Source organism: Homo sapiens, chromosome 2, assembly GCF_000001405.40.
Source record: "Homo sapiens chromosome 2, GRCh38.p14 Primary Assembly".
Lineage (NCBI taxonomy): Eukaryota > Metazoa > Chordata > Mammalia > Primates > Hominidae > Homo > Homo sapiens.
This window is the reverse complement of record NC_000002.12, coordinates 196,417,813-196,437,541: the sequence shown is the minus strand read 5'-3', so window position 1 is coordinate 196,437,541 and position 19,729 is coordinate 196,417,813. Positions and strand designations below refer to the sequence as shown.

Genomic DNA, 19,729 nt, shown 5'->3' with positions numbered 1-19,729 from the left:
CTCCCTGGTTCAAGCGATTCTCGTGCCTCAGCCTCCTGAGTAGCTGGGATTACAGGCATGTTCCACCATGCCCAGCTAATTTTTGTATTTTTAGTGGAGACAGAGTTTTACCATGTTGGCCAGGTTGATCTTGAACTCCTGACCTCAGGTGATCTGACTGCCTCAGCCTCCCAAAGTGCTGGGATTATAAGCCTGAGCCACTGCGCCCGGCTGGTGCATGGTTTCTTTTGCAGGATTCTCTTCATCTTCACCGGGTTCTGTGGAAACTCTACATTTGTTTTTTTCTTCTCCGCCTCCCAGTACTCTTCCTTGGTAGTTTCTTTGTATCCATGCTTCCAATTAGAATGCTCTTCATGCGTTTCTTTTTTTTTCTAATTCTTTAAGGCTCACCTCAGATATCACCTCTGCCACCAAGTGTTTTCTGTCTTCTTCAGCCAAACTTTTGCCTCACAAATCTTTCTCAGTTTCCTCATCTGAAAAGAGAGATAATGATGTTATCTCTTGGAATTAATTTACAATATTCTGAGGGCTTACTCGAGATACCTGATGTGAAAGTGCTTTGGAAAAGGTTAAGCCCATTATAAATATGTTTTTATCACTTTCAGATGCCCTACAACATTTATTGTCCCCACAAATTTGTTAAGACTAATTATACATGTATATAAAGTGCCATTGATACCAGCTTGAATTATCTCATATATGAATATTTGCTTTTGTTCCCCAAAATTTCAAGTTCCCACAGGGAAAGGGCTATGTTAGGAAAAGAAAAGAAAGAAATTGAAAAAAAAAAAAACCTTACTCTTTTTACTATTTAGCATACACTGCAGCTTTATGGTAGACATGTAGTAGTAGATGCTCCATACATTTTTGCAGGTGCAATTAAGCTAGCAGATTCACACATTTCTAGCTCTTTTTGTTCTTTCACTGAAAACAAATATGTATTATGTATTTGGTTTTTGGCCCTTAGTTGCGTGTCTTTTCTTGTTAGAATGCAGGCTTTTTTGAACTAGGGACTTTGACTTTTGCTCTGTTGTATCCTTAATGCTTTTCACTTAGGAGGAGCACAGTTATTTTTGCATGAACGATGAACCCACTACTGGTGATGAAGTTGAGTTTCAACTTTTTTTTTTTTTTTTTTTTTGAGATGGAGTCTCGCTCTGTCGCCCAGACTGGAGTCCAGTGGTGCAATCTCTGCTCACTGCAAGCTCCGCCTCCTGGGTTCATGCCATTCTCCTGCCTCAGCCTCCCGAGTAGCTGGGACTACAGGCACCCGCCACCACGCCTGGCTAATTTTTTCTATTTTGTAGTAGAGATGGGGTTTCACCATGTTAGCCAGGATGGTCTCAATCTCCTGACTTCATGATCCGCCTGCGTCGGCCTCCCAAAGTGCTGGGATTACAGGCGCGTGCCACCAGGCCCGGCTCGAAGACCAGGGAATGGCTCTTGTCAGTGTTATGGGGCCAAAGCTTGGGCTCTGAGATATCTGAGGTCCTCACTGCCTACAAGGCTCTTTTGTTTCTGTTAGGCGCTATGCTTTGAAATACTGAAGATGCTGATTAAGTAGAAGGGGTGGTGGGAATTATGGGAGTATTAAAACCAGTTCTTGATATAATTAAAGTAGAATGTAGTCACATAATGGTATTAATAACTAAACTTGACCAAGCACTTACTATATGCCAGACACTGTTTGAAATGTTTTATCTGTACTGATTTATTTAGTTCTCTCCAAAATCCTATGAGGCAGATGTTATGTTCTTCCTGGATAGGTGGGGAAACAGAGGGACAGAGAGTTAAAATAAATTGTCTAAGATCATAGAGTGATAGAAAGTAAAGATATAACCGAAATCCAGAAGTTGGGCTTCAGAGCTTTTTCTCTTAGCTGCTGTGCTAACCTGTCTCTCTGCTTAAATACAGATAATTTAAAAACAGTAATGTGGGCATACATACATGTTATTTCACTTTTTTCTAGAGAGGAATAATTGTCAGTATTTCTTCTGTTGTGATTTTAAGCTATAAGGGTTGTGGCCTATTTCTTTCTTTCAGGGAAGTAGTTTAGTTATATACAGCCTGCATTTTTTATTCAACTACAATGTGTTAGGAGTTGATTATTTATAGTTCTTGCTGAAGCTGATGTGCTGCATGACTCACTGAGTTTATAAAGAAATAATGGCCTGTTGAAAGTCAGTAAAATGAAATTTCTTGAAACTATCAGATTAGAAGTTGACCTGTATTTTAAGCTTCATAGATTGGAGATTTTCTAATAATTATGGATTCTTTTATGGTATCAGAGTTACCATAGACCACATACAGAAAATAAGTGCCAACTTTATGAAGAGAGATATGGGATTTAAAACCATTGAACTGAGTAAATCAGCTTATCTGTTCATTTTTATTTCTATCCTTTTCACAAAAGATATCTTGTCCAAGTTATTTTCATTCAAGAGATAGTGCTCAAAGTATGAGATCTACTTTATGGCAGAAACTATTTGAATAAATACATTTGCAAGTGCTATAAACCTAGCACAGGAGCATGTCCTCTTCATCCAAAGTGTCTGTGAACTCAATGGGAGGATGGGAGAAAAAACCCTATCTTCCCTTGCCCTCCTCTCAGACTCAGTAGCCAAGGTCGTTAGCTGTCATGTAAATATTGCACCCAAGGTTACTTTGTTTGTTTTTTAAATGAAAACTCATGCAGTGGGTGTTGAAATATATCATATGAGAAGTGGTAGTGTGAGTGGCAGAAAGTTTTTTCATAGACTTCCCAGGACCCAATAGGGTTTGCCCTGAGATGAAACATGGCATAATGAAGATGGTGGCAGGTACCAAGATTGCGGAATAAATGTGAAATCCATAAATTCATGAGTGGATTATGTAGTTCTGAAAGGGATGGTACAGAAGAAAATCAGATCAATTCTATGTAAAGCTAGTGAGATCCGAGTGAGGTAATGTAAACCCATGGCAAACAGGTAAGGCGCTGGTAGATAGAACCTTAGTTGTGCTGCGTTAAAGTACAGGAGGTACTGGAGTCTCTGTCTGTATCTGGAAGTATTTTATAACTAGACTCAGTGAGCCAAAAAGGGGCTGTCTAAGTTCCAACAGGGAAGGCCTTGTTCCTTTGGAACCAAAGGAAATAGCTTATCGGGAGCCAAAGGAAATAGCTTATCATGATCCAGATGGCCCAAATAATGTGGACCAGCCAGAAAGTCAGGATGGCAAGGGGCAGGCTCAGGAAAGGGACTGGAGATAAAAGTTATTTCAAGAAGTATCTAGGAGAAAGATGCTTACTCTTCCTGCATCTGTTATTTAACAAATATTTATCGACATGTACCGTGTAGCAGGCACTGTTGTAGACACTGGGGATAAAGTAGCCAACAAAACAGATGAAAATCCCTGCCTTTGTGAAACTTACATTCTTGTCAGGGGAAGTAGACAATAACCAAATAAATAAGTAAATTGTATGGTACGTTAGATCACAAAAATTGCTATAGAGAAAAATCAAGAAAGGAGGGATGGGGAATGCTGGGGTGCTGCAGTTTTAAATGTGATGGCCACTGTATTTAGGAGAAGAGGTAACATTTGAGCAAGCTCCTGAAAAGATTTCAGTGAGTTACATTCTTATGCTAAGGAAACTGAGCAAGTGAACTTGTACTTAATGGTGTACTTCAACTGTATTTAGCATGTGTCTCGCTATTTTAAAATTTCATTGCAGCAGCAAATAAATATGTGTGTGGGATGGAAAACGAGAAGAGGATGCCATGTTTGAACGTGGGGTGTTTGGGAAAGGATAGACCTAAAAGGGATGGCAAGGAAATCCTCTCCTCCTTGATTGCTAGGAGAAAGCTGTGCCAAGTGAAATCGAGGGTCGCAGGCATGTGACAGCCTTTGCCATCATGTGACTTGACTCTATAGAAGCTGTTTCTGACATCATCATTTAACAGTAGAATAATAGGTTTTATTTTGACAACAGAAGATTATTGCATGATCAGGCTTATTAAACACCCTTTAAGGCTTTATGTCTGGAAAGCTTAAATCTGATTCTTCGTATTGTAGCACTAATGTTTTATGTTTATCTGTCTCTTGCAGCTTTGTAGGCAGCCAATCCCAGAGAAGCAGACGGGATGGCTAGTTCAGCCCGGGAGCACCTGCTTTTTGTGAGGCGTCGAAATCCCCAGATGCGGTACACATTGAGCCCAGAGAACCTCCAGAGCCTTGCCGCCCAGAGCTCCATGCCAGAGAACATGACCCTGCAGCGGGCCAACAGCGACACCGACCTGGTGACTTCTGAGAGCCGCTCCAGCTTAACTGCCAGCATGTACGAGTACACGCTGGGGCAAGCCCAGAACCTCATTATCTTCTGGGACATTAAAGAGGAGGTGGACCCCAGTGATTGGATTGGACTTTATCATATAGGTGAGTCAAGTGGAATGGACTTGCATGTGACTCAGAGCATACAAGTTTTTAGTTTGACATTTTTACCATTCTGTATTTTCTTCTGGAAAAAAATTCACATGCACATATACACATAGCAGATTCTGGGAATTTATTTTTTTTCTTCTTTGGGAGGAGGAGATTCAACAGTACATTTGCTTATATTATGAAGTTTGTGGTTACATCTCTACCTCATTAAATGTCAGAACCTTCAGAACCTGCAGGTGTTACAGTATTTTCTCTTAGGTCGATGCAAAAGTAATTGCACCAATAAAACTTCACCTTTCTCTTGATCAGCAGTCCCATTTTAGAAAGAGATATCTATTAACATTTACTAACATTTTTAAACTGATGAAAGAGACGTGTAGATTTAGATGACATATTTTAAAAGCTCTGTATTTTCTAAAATTTGAGTTTTGTTAAGAACTACTTGTAGCCTAAGATGTCTTTTTATTTTTAAATTTCATGACTCTGTTCTAGATCAATTAGGGGAAGGAAGTGTCATGTTTTCCTGACAAATGACTTATAAATAATTGCTATTTGCTTTAATAAAAACAGTTCAGCTCTGTTTAGCTAATTTACGCTTGTTGTTCTTAGTGAACTTACATTTGCTGAGTGAGCGATGAATGAAACATCCCAAAAAGTACGATGTCTGCCACATTGGAAAGCAAAAATCTAACCTACCAACTAAACAAAAAGAAAATTGAAATCCAACCCAATAATAAAATCTAACATTTTCCAAAGTTGGAGAACTTTTTCATTGAATGAAGAAAATTCTCTCCAAAATTTAGCATCAGATATTAGGAAGACATTGTTGCTTTCAATGTAAGTTGTAAGCCAAGCATCCCCCCATCACCCCGCCGCCCTTTTTTTTTTAACGAATAAATCAGAGGAAAAAAAGACCCATCTGTTTATGGCAGTACTTCTTAGCCAGGGAAGATTTTGCCCCCTAGAGGACATTCGGCAAGGTTTGGAGACATTTTTGGTTGTCACAACTGGGTAGGGGGATATGAAGCCAGGGTGCTGTAAAACATCCAACAATGTAAAGGACAGCCTCCCTCCACAGTGATCTAGCCCCAAATGCCAATAGCACCACTGTTGAGAAGCCCTGTTTGAGGCAAAACAACACTCTTGCTGAAATTTTGTTAGATTGTTAAAGCCACTGAAATTTATTTTTCTCTGGGATAAAGAATTTTATATTGACTGAAATAAAAACATTTGATTTGTATTCACTTATATAACTCTTAATGGTTAATCATGCTGGAAAGCAAAAAATCTAAACTGGGCAAAGCTTTAATGAATTGTTATCTCTCTTTTTTTTCCTTATGGTAAACAAAAAAGGGGAAAAGTCTTCACAGCATTTTCCCTAAGTGTGTTTTAAAATATAATCAAATTGAGGAAGATACATAATTTAAAAATTACATTTGTATCATTATGTTCACAAAAAGTCTTAGTTTTGTTGGGACTTTAGATGTAACCCTTTTGATTTGAATGTAATTTCACTCTTTTGCACTTCATATAACTTCTCTTTAGACTTTCTCATTTTTTACCATTTTAGCTTTTATTTTATAATCTTAATAGAAGACTTAATATGAGACTACAAATACCAAATTGTAGTTTAAAAAATCCTTTTATGATATTTATTTGGGAAATAATCAGTTTTACTTTCTCATATAAGATGATTTATTTTGTGTACGAATAACTTAATCTTTAAACTGCTAGAATCACTTAAAAAGTTGATTCCCATACACACACTTGCTTTATTTCCCTGTCTAAATTTAATCAGGAAGGAACTAAGGAATTCCAACCGCAATGAATCTTATCTCCAAGTGACCAAACCCACAAAATCTTGATGTTGTTATATTTTACTTTCTAGAGGAAGAAGTATAGGTCAGAGTCCTAAGTCTGGAATTAATCCAAGGTTGTCACTAGGAAAGCAGAATTAGGAAATAAATCCCTTTTGAAAAATGATAACTCTTCATCAGTTTATTTCAAGAAGCTTCTGTGTCTTTCTCATGTAAGTTATCATTGTGTCTTTGTTCCCCTGTATGTTACATGTCTTTTTTCCCCTCCTTTGGCTACTTTCAAGATTTTTCTCTTTATCTTGGTTTCCAGCAGTTTGTCTATGCTATACTTAGGTGTGATTTTCTTTTTATTTATTCCAGTTGATATTCTCTGAGCTTCGTAAGTTAATGTTTTTGATGAAATTTGGACAAATGTTGGCCACTATTTCTTCAAATATTTTTTCTGTTTTTATTTTTTTCTTCTTTTTCTGAGATGCCAGTTATGCATATGTTAGAATCATTTCATGTTGTTCTGCAAGGCCCCGAGGCTCTCGTTCATTTTCCTTCAACATCTTTCCTCTTTGATATTCAAATTTGATAATTTCTATTTATCTATCTTCAAGTTCACTAACTTTGCCCTTTTTTTGTCTTCATTCTGTTGTCAGTCCCACCCAATGGATTTTTAAACTTTGAGTTATTTGACTTTTCATTTCTAGAATATGCATTTCTCTTTTTCTAGTTTTCATTTCTCTTATGAGATTTCTTGTGTGTTAACTCATTCAGATCATATTTTTGTTCAGTTCTTCAAACTGAATTGAATATAGCTACTTTAAAGATTCTGTCTTCTAATTTCAACATCTAGGCCATCTCATGATCAGTTCCTATTGACTATTTTTTTTTTCATTGACCATGGTTCTTATTTTTTGGTTTCTTTGCATAGCTAGCACTTTTTGATTTTACACTGGATATTAAGGATTCTATGTGGTAGAAATTCTGAATTCTGTGGAATAACAGTGTTGATTTTTTTTCTAATAAGCAGGTTTATTTCTTTGAGCTTGTATAGGTTTGATTTTTTACACTTTGTTAGACTGGATCTGTGGAAAGGCCAGTGTATTTTTCTACTATTTCTAACTTGATGGAATTCATCCTCCGAATTTGGTCTCCCCTGTGAATTTTGTTAGGTCTTGCTTTTGGGCTGTGGTAAAATCAGTGTATGGTAGGCCTTATATTAGTACATTCTGCTTACTCCTGAGCAGCAGCATTTCTGATGTCTTAGCTGGATACCTGGAGTGCTAGCCAGGTCTCTTCACTCTGGCTGGGCTGTAGCTCCAGCATTCACCAGCACTGCTTAACCTCTGGTCACTCTGTTTTCCTCTCAGCCCTGTAAAGCTGCTCTCTATAAAGCCTTGGTCATTTCTTTCTGAGCATGTGCACCCCAGACCTTGGCCAAGATTTGTAGGGGATCCCCTTTGTGGACTTCTGGCCCTCATCCTTCTAGAGCTCTTTTCTTTCCAGGGCCCTGGCCTGGAGATTCTAGTACTCCGGTTGACTCAGACTCAGATCTCTGTATCCAAGCTCAGCAGAACTGCTATGGACTCTAGCTTCTTGCTCTACACTCAGGAAATTGTCCTCCATCTGAGATCTGGGTGATCATAGAGTCACCTCATAAGTTTCTCTTTTCTCTGAGATTATAGTCTAATACCATCTGTTTTCCAATGTCTGAAAACCACTTCTACTTCTAATTTTACAGTTATGTACATTGGGAAAGCTAGTCTGGTGCTAATTACTTCATTAAGGCCTGAAGCGGAAGTTCCTTTATAATTTGATTTAGGGTGGGAGATAAGAGGTCTCAATTTTCCCCTCTAGCCATTTCCAAAGAACTGAATAAAATTGATTGCTTACATCTATGTTGTCACTTCTTACTGTATTTTCTAATAGATTTCTATCCCTAGCAGGAAAGAGGGATGAGGACCTGGCATCCCAGACCCCACAAGGGTCCATTTTCTGCCCCCTTCGCTCTGTAGTCAGAACCCTGATAGGGTCATTGTGAGCAGTAAGTCCTTAATCTCAGGGCAGGTAGGCCCCCCCCAGGCTCAGGAAAGGTCTAAACTTGTATGCTAATCCAAACATTGAGTAGTCTAGAAGTAGACATGTGACTCGGTTCTTGCCCATGAGATCTAATGGGAAACCTTTGGGGGAACTTTGCTTTCCAATGAAAAGCCAGAGTTTCATGAAGAGTCTTTTAAACTTCCTCTTCTCTTGTACTTGGAACTCTGGTGAAAAGACACGATTTCTTGAGCTGTTGCATCCATGTAGCAATCATGAGGCATCAATCAAGAGAATAAAAAGCTATGGATGGCAGAGCAGAAAATAGATCTTGGACTGGCACTCTGAAGTTCATGTTATATGTGGGAAAAAATGTTCTTCTCTTGGTTTAAGTCAGCAGCAGGCTTTCTTGTACCTGCAGTTGTTCCTAATAGAGCCACTAACACAGCTAGAAATACAAGAAAGGGAAAAGGGTAACAACTGCTTTTAAAGGCAAGATAAAGAATGAGTGGGCTGCTTTGGTAGTTACTACTTCGTGGAGAGTGTTAAGGACTATTTTAATATCTGTGAAAGCCACCAGGTTGTTTTTAAAAGAAGCAACAACAATTTTGATATAAAAATTCTGAACACAGTAACTCCAAGCCATGTGGAAATTTTCAGTGCTTTAATAGGACCAATACTGTGTTGGGAATAATCTTTCAAATGAGTAATTAATAACATGAAAATGTGCAAAACAATTTTTTGGATACTATTAAATGAAAGTAGGTAAAATGATACATTTGGAGAGGAAGTGAAAGAAAAGAGGAAACACCATGCTAGAACAGGAAAAGATTTTTGAGGTTCAGGTTAAGTCACAAATTTAATACTGTGTGGCTAAACAGGAACATGCATAATAAATTCTCTCTTGGGCTCTGTGAAATAGATGTGCTGAGAATCCAGGTTTCGTAACAATAGCATGTATGTCAGAAATAGCTTCAGATTTCTATACCTTTTGGTAGGAAGCAGCCTCTCCCCTTCAGTTGTGTCCTGAGAAGCCTGTTTCCTAGCAACTTCTAGTTTTAGTTATGGAACAGAGAGATGGTCTCTATAGAAATAAGTCCCAAAGGAGAAGGAATTTAGTAGAACATCAAGCTGACGAGGTGTGGCTTGTTGGCACACTCTGCATTTTGATTGTGTTTCTCTTGGCTTACATTTTCTTCCCCTCTAGAAGTGTGAGTTTTGTTTTTGTTTGGCTCATTGTGCAGAATGTTTTGAACTGTACAACTCACTCCAGATGACTTGTAGCACTTCTAATCTGGAGGGAAAACATATGCATGTGAATCAGAAAAGTAAATCCTTCTTTAGGCATTTTTAGGCAGTAAATAGGCCCTATTGGAAATACAAAGAAAAAAGTTGAAAATATCAAAGCATTATTTGAGAAGACTTTGGGTGTGAACACAGTTCTCAAAACATATGCTAATTATATTTCCTCCTTCCAGAAAGCCTCATATACACCCTGAGATTTCTAGAGATGATCACAATGGAGCTATAGGCCCAAACCTCCAAATTACAACAATTAATCCCTTGCAGATGGTTTGCGGAAATCACTAGGCTTATAATTTATTGTTGGTCTCCAAAATTAGAATTGATTCCTCACAAATTTAACAGTGCTATTTATTGCCTCCTCCTAAGTGCACCAAATAAAAAGAACCAAATGCTTATCTTATACAAAGACACTTAGGTCATCCAACACAAACAGCTTTCCATGAAGAATCAGATGGAAACAGTTTAAAGAGGATGTAGATGATAGTAAATTTGTTTCAGGCTCACTATCTAATTCCCCTTCACCTTTGGACCTATGCTCATTTTTCTGGCTGTTCAAAAGAAAAACAAACACTTCAAAAGGCTCCATTTGCCATTTCTCATTTGTAGGCAACTTCAGGTACTTAACAGAACTACGAAAGTGCACATTAAGACAATTATTTATTTTTTAATTTTGCATAACGAAAATGTAAAAGTGTATACTATGCTATGTACCAGCAGTTATTCAAAGTACTGGTCTGCAAACTGTTACTGATCTGTGAACAGATAAGGTGCTCTCTCCAAAATGTAAATCAATATACTGATTTCTTCGATGAGAAAATGTTGCTATGAAAAAAAATCATCTGAAGTTTCTTGATGTAAGTATTTCAGATTCTGGCTCAAGCTTCTTACATTGTCATGGACTGGTAACAAATAATTTACCAGCATTTCTCTGGACCACACTTTAAGTAGACCTCTCAGTGTCTATGGATTGATTATGTCTTCAAAAGTGAATGGCAGAACAACTGTATTTTGACTGTCAGTCTTAAAAAAGTATCATGGTAATATATTTTGACATCTTTCATATTTCTTCACATTTGGAGAATAAAATAAAGTAAGATTGCAATAGTAAACCAAAGCATTATCATCATGTATCTTAGAGCTTTAAGATCCCAAAGTTTAAGCTTATGTTTTATAAATAAATAACTAAGGTCTAGAATGATGATACCCTACAGCTTGTTGGGGGAAGAGTCAAGGCTGGAACTTCAGTGTCCTATGTTCCAAGTCTTCATTTTTCTTTCCTGTGCTGAGAATTGTAGTCTCGTATTTCCCAACTGTTAAGTACTTGCTCACCACCTTCTTGATTTTTTGCAGTTTTAGATGATTGGCTATAGTGTTAATATTTTCCTTTAAACTATCTAATTGACAAAGGACCAGAATAGACACTTCTCAAAAGAAGACAAGCAAATGTCCAACAGGTATATTAAAAAAAAAAATCAACATCACTAATTATCATGGAAATGCAAATTCAAACCACAATGAGATATCACCCCACACCTATTAGAATGGCTGTTATCAAAAAGACAAAAGATAACAAGTGTTGGTGACATTTGGAGAAAAGGGAACCCTTACACACTGTAGGTGGGAATGTAAATTAGTACAGCCATTATGGAAAACAATACAGGCATAACTAGAGATAGTGTGGTTTCGGTTCTGGATCCCCATAATGAAGTGAATAGCAAATTAAAGCCAGTCACAGTTTTTTGGTTTCTCAGTGCATATAAAAGTTGTGTGTACACTATACTGTAATCTAAATATTAAGTGTGCAGTAGCACTATGTCTAAAAAAAACTGATGTACATACCTTAACTTAAAAAGACTTTATCATAAAAAAATGTTAATGATCATCTGAGCTTCAGTAAGTCATCATGTTTTTGCTGGTGGAGTGTCTTGCCTCCATGTTGATAGCTGCTGACTGATCAGGGTGGTGGTTGCTGAAGGTTCGGGTAGCTGCACAATGTGTTTAAATAAGACAGTAGTGAAGTTTGCTACATTGACAGACTCTTCCTTTCACGAAAGATTTCTCTGTAGCATGAATGCTATTTGATAGCATTTTACCCACAGTAGAACTTTTTTCAAAATTGGAGTCAATCTTTTCAAACCCTGCTGCTAGTTTTTCAACTCAGTTTATGGAATATTCTAATTTTTTTTGTTGTTGTAATTTTAACAATGTTCACAGCTTCTTTATCAGGAGTAGATTTTATCTCAGGAAACCACTTTCTTTACTCACCCATAAGAAGGAACTCCTTATCCATTCAAGTTTTATCATAAGATTGGAGCAACTCAGTTACATCTTCAGGCACCACTTCTAATTCTAGTTCTCTTGCTATTTCTACCACATTTACAGTGACTTCCATCACTGAAGTCTTGAACCCTTCAAAGTCATCCATGAGGGTTGGAATCAACTTCTTCCAGACTCCTGTCAATGGTGATATTTTAGTCTACCCCATGAATTGTGAATGGCATCTAGAATGGTGAATCCCTTCCAGAAGGTTTTTAATTTACTTTGCCCAGATTCATCAGAGAAATTCCTATCTATGGCAGCTATAGCCTTAAGAAATGTATTGCTTAAATAATAAGACTTGAAATTCAAAATTACTCCTTGGCCCATGGGCTACAGAATGAGTGTTGTGTTAGCAGGCATGAAAACAACATTAATTTCCTTGTAAATCTTCATCAGACCTCTTAGGTGACTTGTCGCAGTTTTTTTTTTTTTTTCCAAGCAGTATGTCTCAATAGTGGCCTTAAAATATTCAGCAAAATATTCCGTAAAAATATTCAGTAAATCTAAATGACAGATGTGCTGTCATTTTGGCTTTGTTGTTCCATTTCTAGAGTGCCAACAGAGTGGCTTTAGTATAATTCTTAAGGGCTCTAGGATTTCTGGAATGGTAAATGAGCATTGGCTTCAACTTAAAGTCACCAGCTGTATGAGCCCCTAACAAGAGAGTCAATCTGTTCTTTAAGCTTTAAAGCCAGACATTGACATCTCCTCTAGCTATGGAAGTCCTAGATGGCATCTTCTTCCAATAGAAGGCTGTTTTGCCCACATTGAAAATCATTTGTTTAGTGTAGCCACCTTAATCAATGATCTTAGCTAGATCTTCTGGATAACTTACTGCAACTTCTACATCAACACTTGCTGTTTTACTTTGTACTTTTATGCTATAGAGATGGCTTCTTTCCTTAAACTTATGAATCAACCTTTCCTAGCTTCCAGCTTTTCTTCTGCAGCTTCCTTACCTCTCTCAGCCTTCATAGAATTGAATAGGGTTAGGGTCTTGCTCTGGATTAGGCTTGGTTTAAGAGAATATTTTGACTATTTTGATCTTCTCTCCAGACTCCTATAATTTTCTCCATATCAATAATAAGGCTGTTTCACTTTCTTATCATTCGTATGTACTTTGGAATAGCATTTTAAATTTCCTTCAAGAACGTTTCCTTTGCTTTTACAACTTGGCTAACTGTTCGAAGCAAGAGGCCTAGCTTTTGGCCTGTCTCAATTTTTGAGATGCCTTCCTCTCTAAGTTTAATCACTTTTAACTTTTGATTTAAAGTGAGAGATGTGTGACTTTTCCTTTCATTTAAATACTTAGAGGCCATTGTAGGGTTATTAATTGGCCTAATTTCAATATTGTTGTGTCTCAGGAGTTAGGACAGCTGAAGAGAGGGAGAAAGAGGATCGTTGGGTCAGTGGAACAGTCAGAACACACACAATATTCATTGATTAAGTTTATAGTCTTGGGCACAGTTCATGGTGCCTCAAAACAATTACAATAATATCATCAAAAGACCACTGATCAGAGATCATCACGACAGGCATAATAATAATGAAAAAGCTTGAAATATTGCAATAAATAGCAAAATGTGACACAGAGACATGAAGTGAGCATATGCTGTTGGAAAAGAAATGGCACCAACAGACTTGCTCAATGTGGGGTTTCCACACACCTTCTATTTGTAAAAAAAACACATTATCTGTGAAGTGCAATAAAGCAAAGCATCATAAAAAGAGTTTTCTATGTAGGCTTCTCAAAAAATTAAAAATATAAATACTATATGACCCAGCAATCCCACTTATGGGTATACATATCCAAAGGAAATGAAGTCAGCATACAGAAGAGATATCTGGATTCCCATGTTTATTGCAGCACTATTTATAATAGCCAAGATATGCAGTCAACCTAAGTGTCCATCAGTGGATGAATGGATAAGAAAAATGTGATAAACACACACACACACACACACACACACACACAATGGAATACTATACATTCATTAAAAAAGAAGGAAACCCTCTCATTTGTGACAACATAGATGAACCTGGAGGTGAAGTGAAATAACTCATTTGATTAAAACAAAACATGCTCTCTACCCTGACAATGTTCTAAGCAATAGTGTTAGAGAAAGGTTTGCGTTGTTAGGTATATTTCTTTCTGACATGCATTAACTGTTAAGGAATAACTTTTGTCAATGAACTACCCAGGACCGTCACAGCAGCACACTTTGAGAAGCTCTGACGTTATCAATTGTTGAGATCACAGGCGCTATAGTTAGACACATTAGTAAATTCAGTGAATGACTAGCTGAATGACCATGGGCAGATAATTTAACTTTTTAAACCTGAATTTCTCCATTTTTAAAAAAATGACTTAAACCACCAATATTATGAGAATTAAATGAGATATTGCATATAAAATGCTCGGCACAGTGCTTGGGCAGATTGTAAGGTTATTATTATAAACTATCATTAATATTTTGGTAATTATTAATAATAATAAAATCATTTTACTGGTAGCCTGAAGCTGCAGCTCAAACTTACCCACTGAATGAATTCCCAAGAAGGGATTTCCAGTTTAAAGTGACACAATGGGCCACTTCTACCTAAGGAAAACAAAATTCATTTATTTGAAGCAGAGCTCTAGAAATTATATAAGCACTTAAAATGTGAATGCTAAATAATACAGTATTTTAATTTGAGTATTATTTAGGTTCTAAATCAACATGCTTTACAAGGTGATGGGAAATCCACAATTTAATCTGAAATTCAATCAAATGGAACAAATAATGCATTAGGTTTTTCATCTTCAGAATAGCTATCAAATATAGTTAAGAGTGCCCGATCCTAAGTTCTTTTGATATTTTATCATGATTCCTGGTGAAGAAAAGTTGTTTTAGGTCATATTTTTAAAATTTTAAAATGCTCTTAGAAAGTAAGAGCTTTGAACATGTAATTGTTTTTTGGAACAACTTAACTCTAAATTCTTTTCACCTAGTCAGATTATGCTGCAATAATTTACTAACCCTAAATCCTCAGGGCTTAACAGAACAAAGGATTATTTATTGCTAATGCTGCATGTCTCGTGTGGGTTGGCAGGGGGCTTGATTCATACTGTCACTTAGGGACTCAGGCTCATCACCTTCTTTATTTTTTCCATATTAGATTATTAAAGGCTCAACCATTTTATCATTATGCCATCTGGACACATGACCTCTTTGGGCAAGTGTCAGGGGAAGAGAGAGCTGGAAACTCTTATGCTAGCTCTTAAATACTTAGACACCAAAGCCACACATTTCACTTCGGCTCAGAGCTCATTGTTCAGCATTGGTAGCAAAATTTTGTCTAACTGCAAGGGGACTGGGAAATGCATAGAAGCCTTTGGCTATTCAGTGAGCAATCAGTGTCTCTCCCATAGTAGAATGTCTTGCTAACAATGTGTCTGGTCCTCCAGTCTGTTTCAAAGCTTAAGGCATCCTTGTATGGTCACTGCAAGAATAGATACTAGGGGTTAGAAAGTCTCATACTTTGGAATACACTTTGCAAGGTGTTCAGAGACTGAATGAGCAGGCATACCCAGGGCAGTACCAAGGACAGTGCATGACCATTATAGATGAAAAATAGCTTAGTGGAATCTGAATTCACAGGATCACCTTGGTATCTCAGACTATCACGGATCTTCCTTTTAATATGCGTGTGGAAGATTTGGTCCACAGAGGAGTCCACATGTTCAAAATGGTTATGAAAGACTCCCCTGGATATTAGATGGGTTTTCGAAAATTGCATAGGTTGGTGTAGCCAAAGAAGCTTTAGTGTATTTTATGCTTTAACATATTGACTGCAAGCGATACTTGATACAGGCATTCTTCTCTCCATAGATTGAGATGATTCTAGAAACATTACCCTTATTGTATTTTTATTGCCCCCCATGCTTATTTGTGTCACTTTTCCTTAAAGGAGACTCATATAGCCAAAATTAGTAAATGTTAAATAATTGTAAATATTTTGTGATTGAATTAAGATAGCTTTTGCATGCGGTTTAGAAATTCTTTGTTCTGATTGCAACCATTACTAACCCACAAAATAATTCCTTACTATACATACTGATTTTATCGTGTTTGTTATAATTAGCTTTTTATACTTTCTTAAGGACTAAATAGTGGACACACCTATAAAGTTACTTATAATGCAATTATTTTATCCTGCTATATTTCTTAAAGTCTGTTTTGTCTGTTATCAGTTGTCACATCAACTTCCTTTCAGTTAGTTTTTGCTTAGTGTATCTTTTCCCATCAATTTACTTTCAGCCATTCTTTGGCATGCTCTAGATTTATCTGCTGTAAATCATGTAAAGCTTTATGATTTTTAATCTAATTTAAGTGAGCATCTTTTAAAATTGGTACATGTAGAGTTTTTTACATCTGCTTTTACTTTTGATATGTTTGGACTTTTTACAACATCTTATTTATTTTCTGCATATCATGCTTTTTCTTAGTTTTTTCCCCCTATTTTTATACCCTCAATGGAAATGATGAGTTGTTTTTACTCCCACATCTCACATTCTTCCTGAGCATATTTGCTTGGAATTTAAACATTCTAGTCTATTCTCTTAAAAGTTTATCCTTTCAATTTTTGACATATGTAATTGAGTTAGCATATAATGAATTGGGATCTTTCAGTGCCTCAAACTGTACAAGAATCTTAGGATCTTTTCATTCCAATCACTTTCTTTCCCATCTTCTCTTTTATTGTTGACGACATTTAATTCCATCCTATTTTAAACCCCTTCTTCCACATTAGTCATTACTATTATTATTGTGTTTTTTTCATAGACATATTCTATGTAACAAACCTCCATAACATAATGGCTGAAAACAGTAATCTTTTGGATAAATAAACAATTTGAAGATGAAAAAAAAAGAACTGACTTATCTGAATCAGCAGCACCAGAGTACAACTGGGCTTGATTTTCTTATAGAACACATACATACAAAAAATGTTGCATTATAAAATAAATGGAAGCACACAGGTGAAGTTTACAATTTAACTTCAAATCCTTGTTGGTTTACCAAACCAAAGAATATATTTTTTTCTTGATTAATGTAGGTTATGATGAAAGGTGTCAGATATATCCAAAATCTTCTCTTCATTTTCTCCAGTGGGTCTTCCCCTTAACAGGCTCTCATGTGTTCTCTATTTCATTTTGCACCAGCTATTTTTATCATTATTTGTAAAGTCAAGGCCTTAAACCAATCTTACGCTTGCAATCTTTGAGTTACAGTGGAGCTGTGATAACTATCAAAGTCATTATATTTTTTTCCGTCAATTGTTTCCCACAATCTGGCTGACATTATTGTTGAATTGTTGAATAAATACAGACTTGCCTCACAGTAGTGTGCAGTTCATATGGACTTCAGAGAAACTGCATTGAGCAACTCAGATTTTCAACCTGTTTTAAGTTTAGAAACCAGAGTATTGTAACTCAGATTTAGTGGTGACGTTAAGGGATTCTTCCACATTTTCATAGTTTGAGTTTTTGTACTTATTTTATTTAAATTATGAATTGCAAAACTCCAAATGTATGTTCATTGAGAAAGCATGATATTTCTCTTCCTTCATCAAAATGTGTAAAACAACAGTCAAATAGTATAAATGATCACATTTTCTTAGCTACTGTAGTTCATAAAATCATTACCAGAACCATCGTAATGCCTTACCTACAAACAAGCTGGAACTGGATAGAGTCTCCATTAACTTCAACATTGGGTAATAATACAGTGGCTCTGAGGATCGTTTTGGAGTGGGGGTACGGGACAGTAGTTGGCACTTGGAAGAGTTGCTGAACCATTCCGAGCTTCAATTTCTTAATATACCAACCTCATAAGATTGCACTGAAGGTGGAACAAGATAACATTTGTAATTGTGATACGCGAGTAGCCAGGTAGCCACCCCACTACACACATCCCCAACAAACATTTGTTGAGAACCTACTGTGTGGCTGCCACTAGGCAATAGGATAAAAAATGAATCAGCTCATAATAGGTGAGATATAAGTAGGAAGGAAATAATTGTAATGCACTGTATTCAGAACAATATTACAAAGACCACAGGAGCATGGAGAAGGGGCAGTTTAATGCCTGAGATGGGTTCAGAGATGGGAAGGGTATAGAAAGGCTTTACCAAGAAGATGATATTTGGACTTCATGTGAAATTGAGATGTTTTTTGGCATTCACACACAAGAAAGGTCATTCCAGGAGGTGGAAATTGTATGTGCACATGCCAGTCTTTTGTCCCGAAGGGTTTGCAGATGTACTTGAAGAGAACACCTCCTGTTCCTTTCCCTTTTTCTGTCTGAATTCCGTGTATCTTTTAAGTGAGGATTCAGAAAAATCGCCCACTCTGTGGGTAATCTACCTAACTATTCTGGGTAATCAGTCTGTTTTCCTACTCCCTTAGGTATTTTATAATATCGCTGTCTCAGTGCTGATTACACTGTGTTATTTATAATTTGTCTTTCTCCATGCTTCTTCCTTCCATTGCACTCTTAACTCCTTAACTGCATCTTGTTCATGTTGTAGGCTGAGCACCTTACCCAGCTCTCTGTGCTGCATTATCTGTGCAGATTCATTAATTCATTCGAGAGTTGGTTTTAAGCTAGAGTAATTATGGTGTGAGTAAATACTTTTTTATTGAGGATGATTCCATGTTATGTAGCTTTCAACTAATGATTTTATTGAACAGAATATCTTTGGTATTCATTCATCTGTTTGTTTAACAATGTTAGAACTTTACAATGTACCAGGCTTCTGAAAAAATTTTTTAAATATCCTCTATATTCAGGATCATAGTTAATAAGTCATCATTGCAGGTTTTTCCTAATTTTTTACAGTGTACCAGCCTTTTGTTTCCCATTTCCTTACCTATAGGATCTGTCTTCAATATTGAAAGCATTTTATGTTTAAATAGAAATAACATTTTCCTGAATTCAGTATGTCTACTGCTTTATACTCTCATTTTTTGGTCTTTTCTTATTCTCTTGTTTCCGAAAATGTGCATCTGTTGCTCTAAGCAGTCATAGATGTTTTCCTGAAAGTTATAACTTGTTTGACATGAAGAATATCTATTATATTTTTGACACTCTGAAATATGTACCAGTATATTTGCGATATAGTTATTATACCTCTAGTACAAGCAAGTGCTGTTTTGAGATTATTGATGGATCAAGAAGTGATCATCTGGCCGGGCACGGTGGCTCACGCCTGTAATCACAGCACTTTGGGAGGCCGAGGCAGGCAGATCACGAGGTCAGGAAATCGAGACCATCCTGGCTAACACAGTGAAACCCCGTCTCTTCTAAAAATACAAAAAATTAGCTGGGTGTGGTGGCAGGCGCCTGTAGTCCCAGCTACTCGGGAGGCTGAGGCAGGAGAATGGCGTGAACCCGGGAGGCAGAGCTTGCAGTGAGCCGAGATGGTGCCACTGCACTCCAGCCTGGGCAACAGAGCGAGACTCCATCTCAAAAAAAAAAAAGAAGTGATCATCCTTTCCCTCTACAAAATTAAGTACTGCTTTTTTGGGGACTATATTTATAGCACTAAGCTATACTATTAGACTCAAATATGTTAATGAATGACTAACCTAAAAAATGTGAAATTTCCAACTGGGAATTTACATTAAATTAACTAACAGGAATCTAAATATTTACTATGTATCTTTTTAAGGCATCCAAGTAAATAGTAGGGTTTTTTTTCTTTAAGTGTAAGTCTGTGGCATATTTTTGACATTGTAAAGCATTCACCATGAAAAGGAAAGCTTTAAGAATTCAGCGAACATCTAGAGGTTAAATTCTTAG

The 19,729-nt window shown here is 36.8% G+C and overlaps 1 protein-coding gene and 1 long non-coding RNA gene across 11 annotated transcripts in view; one reads left to right on the top strand and one right to left on the bottom strand.

Moving 5' to 3' along the window:
• HECW2 (HECT, C2 and WW domain containing E3 ubiquitin protein ligase 2) overlaps positions 1-19,729 on the top strand; it is a 399,483-nt gene that overhangs the window by 156,013 nt on the left and 223,741 nt on the right. For all 10 annotated transcript variants that reach the window (NM_001348768.2, XM_006712646.4, XM_047445197.1 and 7 more), the window contains exon 2: positions 4,084-4,410. In NM_001348768.2, the coding sequence (NP_001335697.1) occupies positions 4,119-4,410 (292 nt within the window). In that variant the 5' untranslated portion in view covers positions 4,084-4,118. The remainder of the gene's footprint in view (positions 1-4,083; positions 4,411-19,729) is intronic.
• On the bottom strand, positions 360-9,289 carry LOC105373822 (uncharacterized). Its single transcript, XR_923746.4, has 3 exons — positions 9,247-9,289; positions 1,671-1,758; positions 360-473 (listed from the first exon to the last, which is right to left on the bottom strand). It is a non-coding gene; the product is annotated as an uncharacterized LOC105373822 (long non-coding RNA).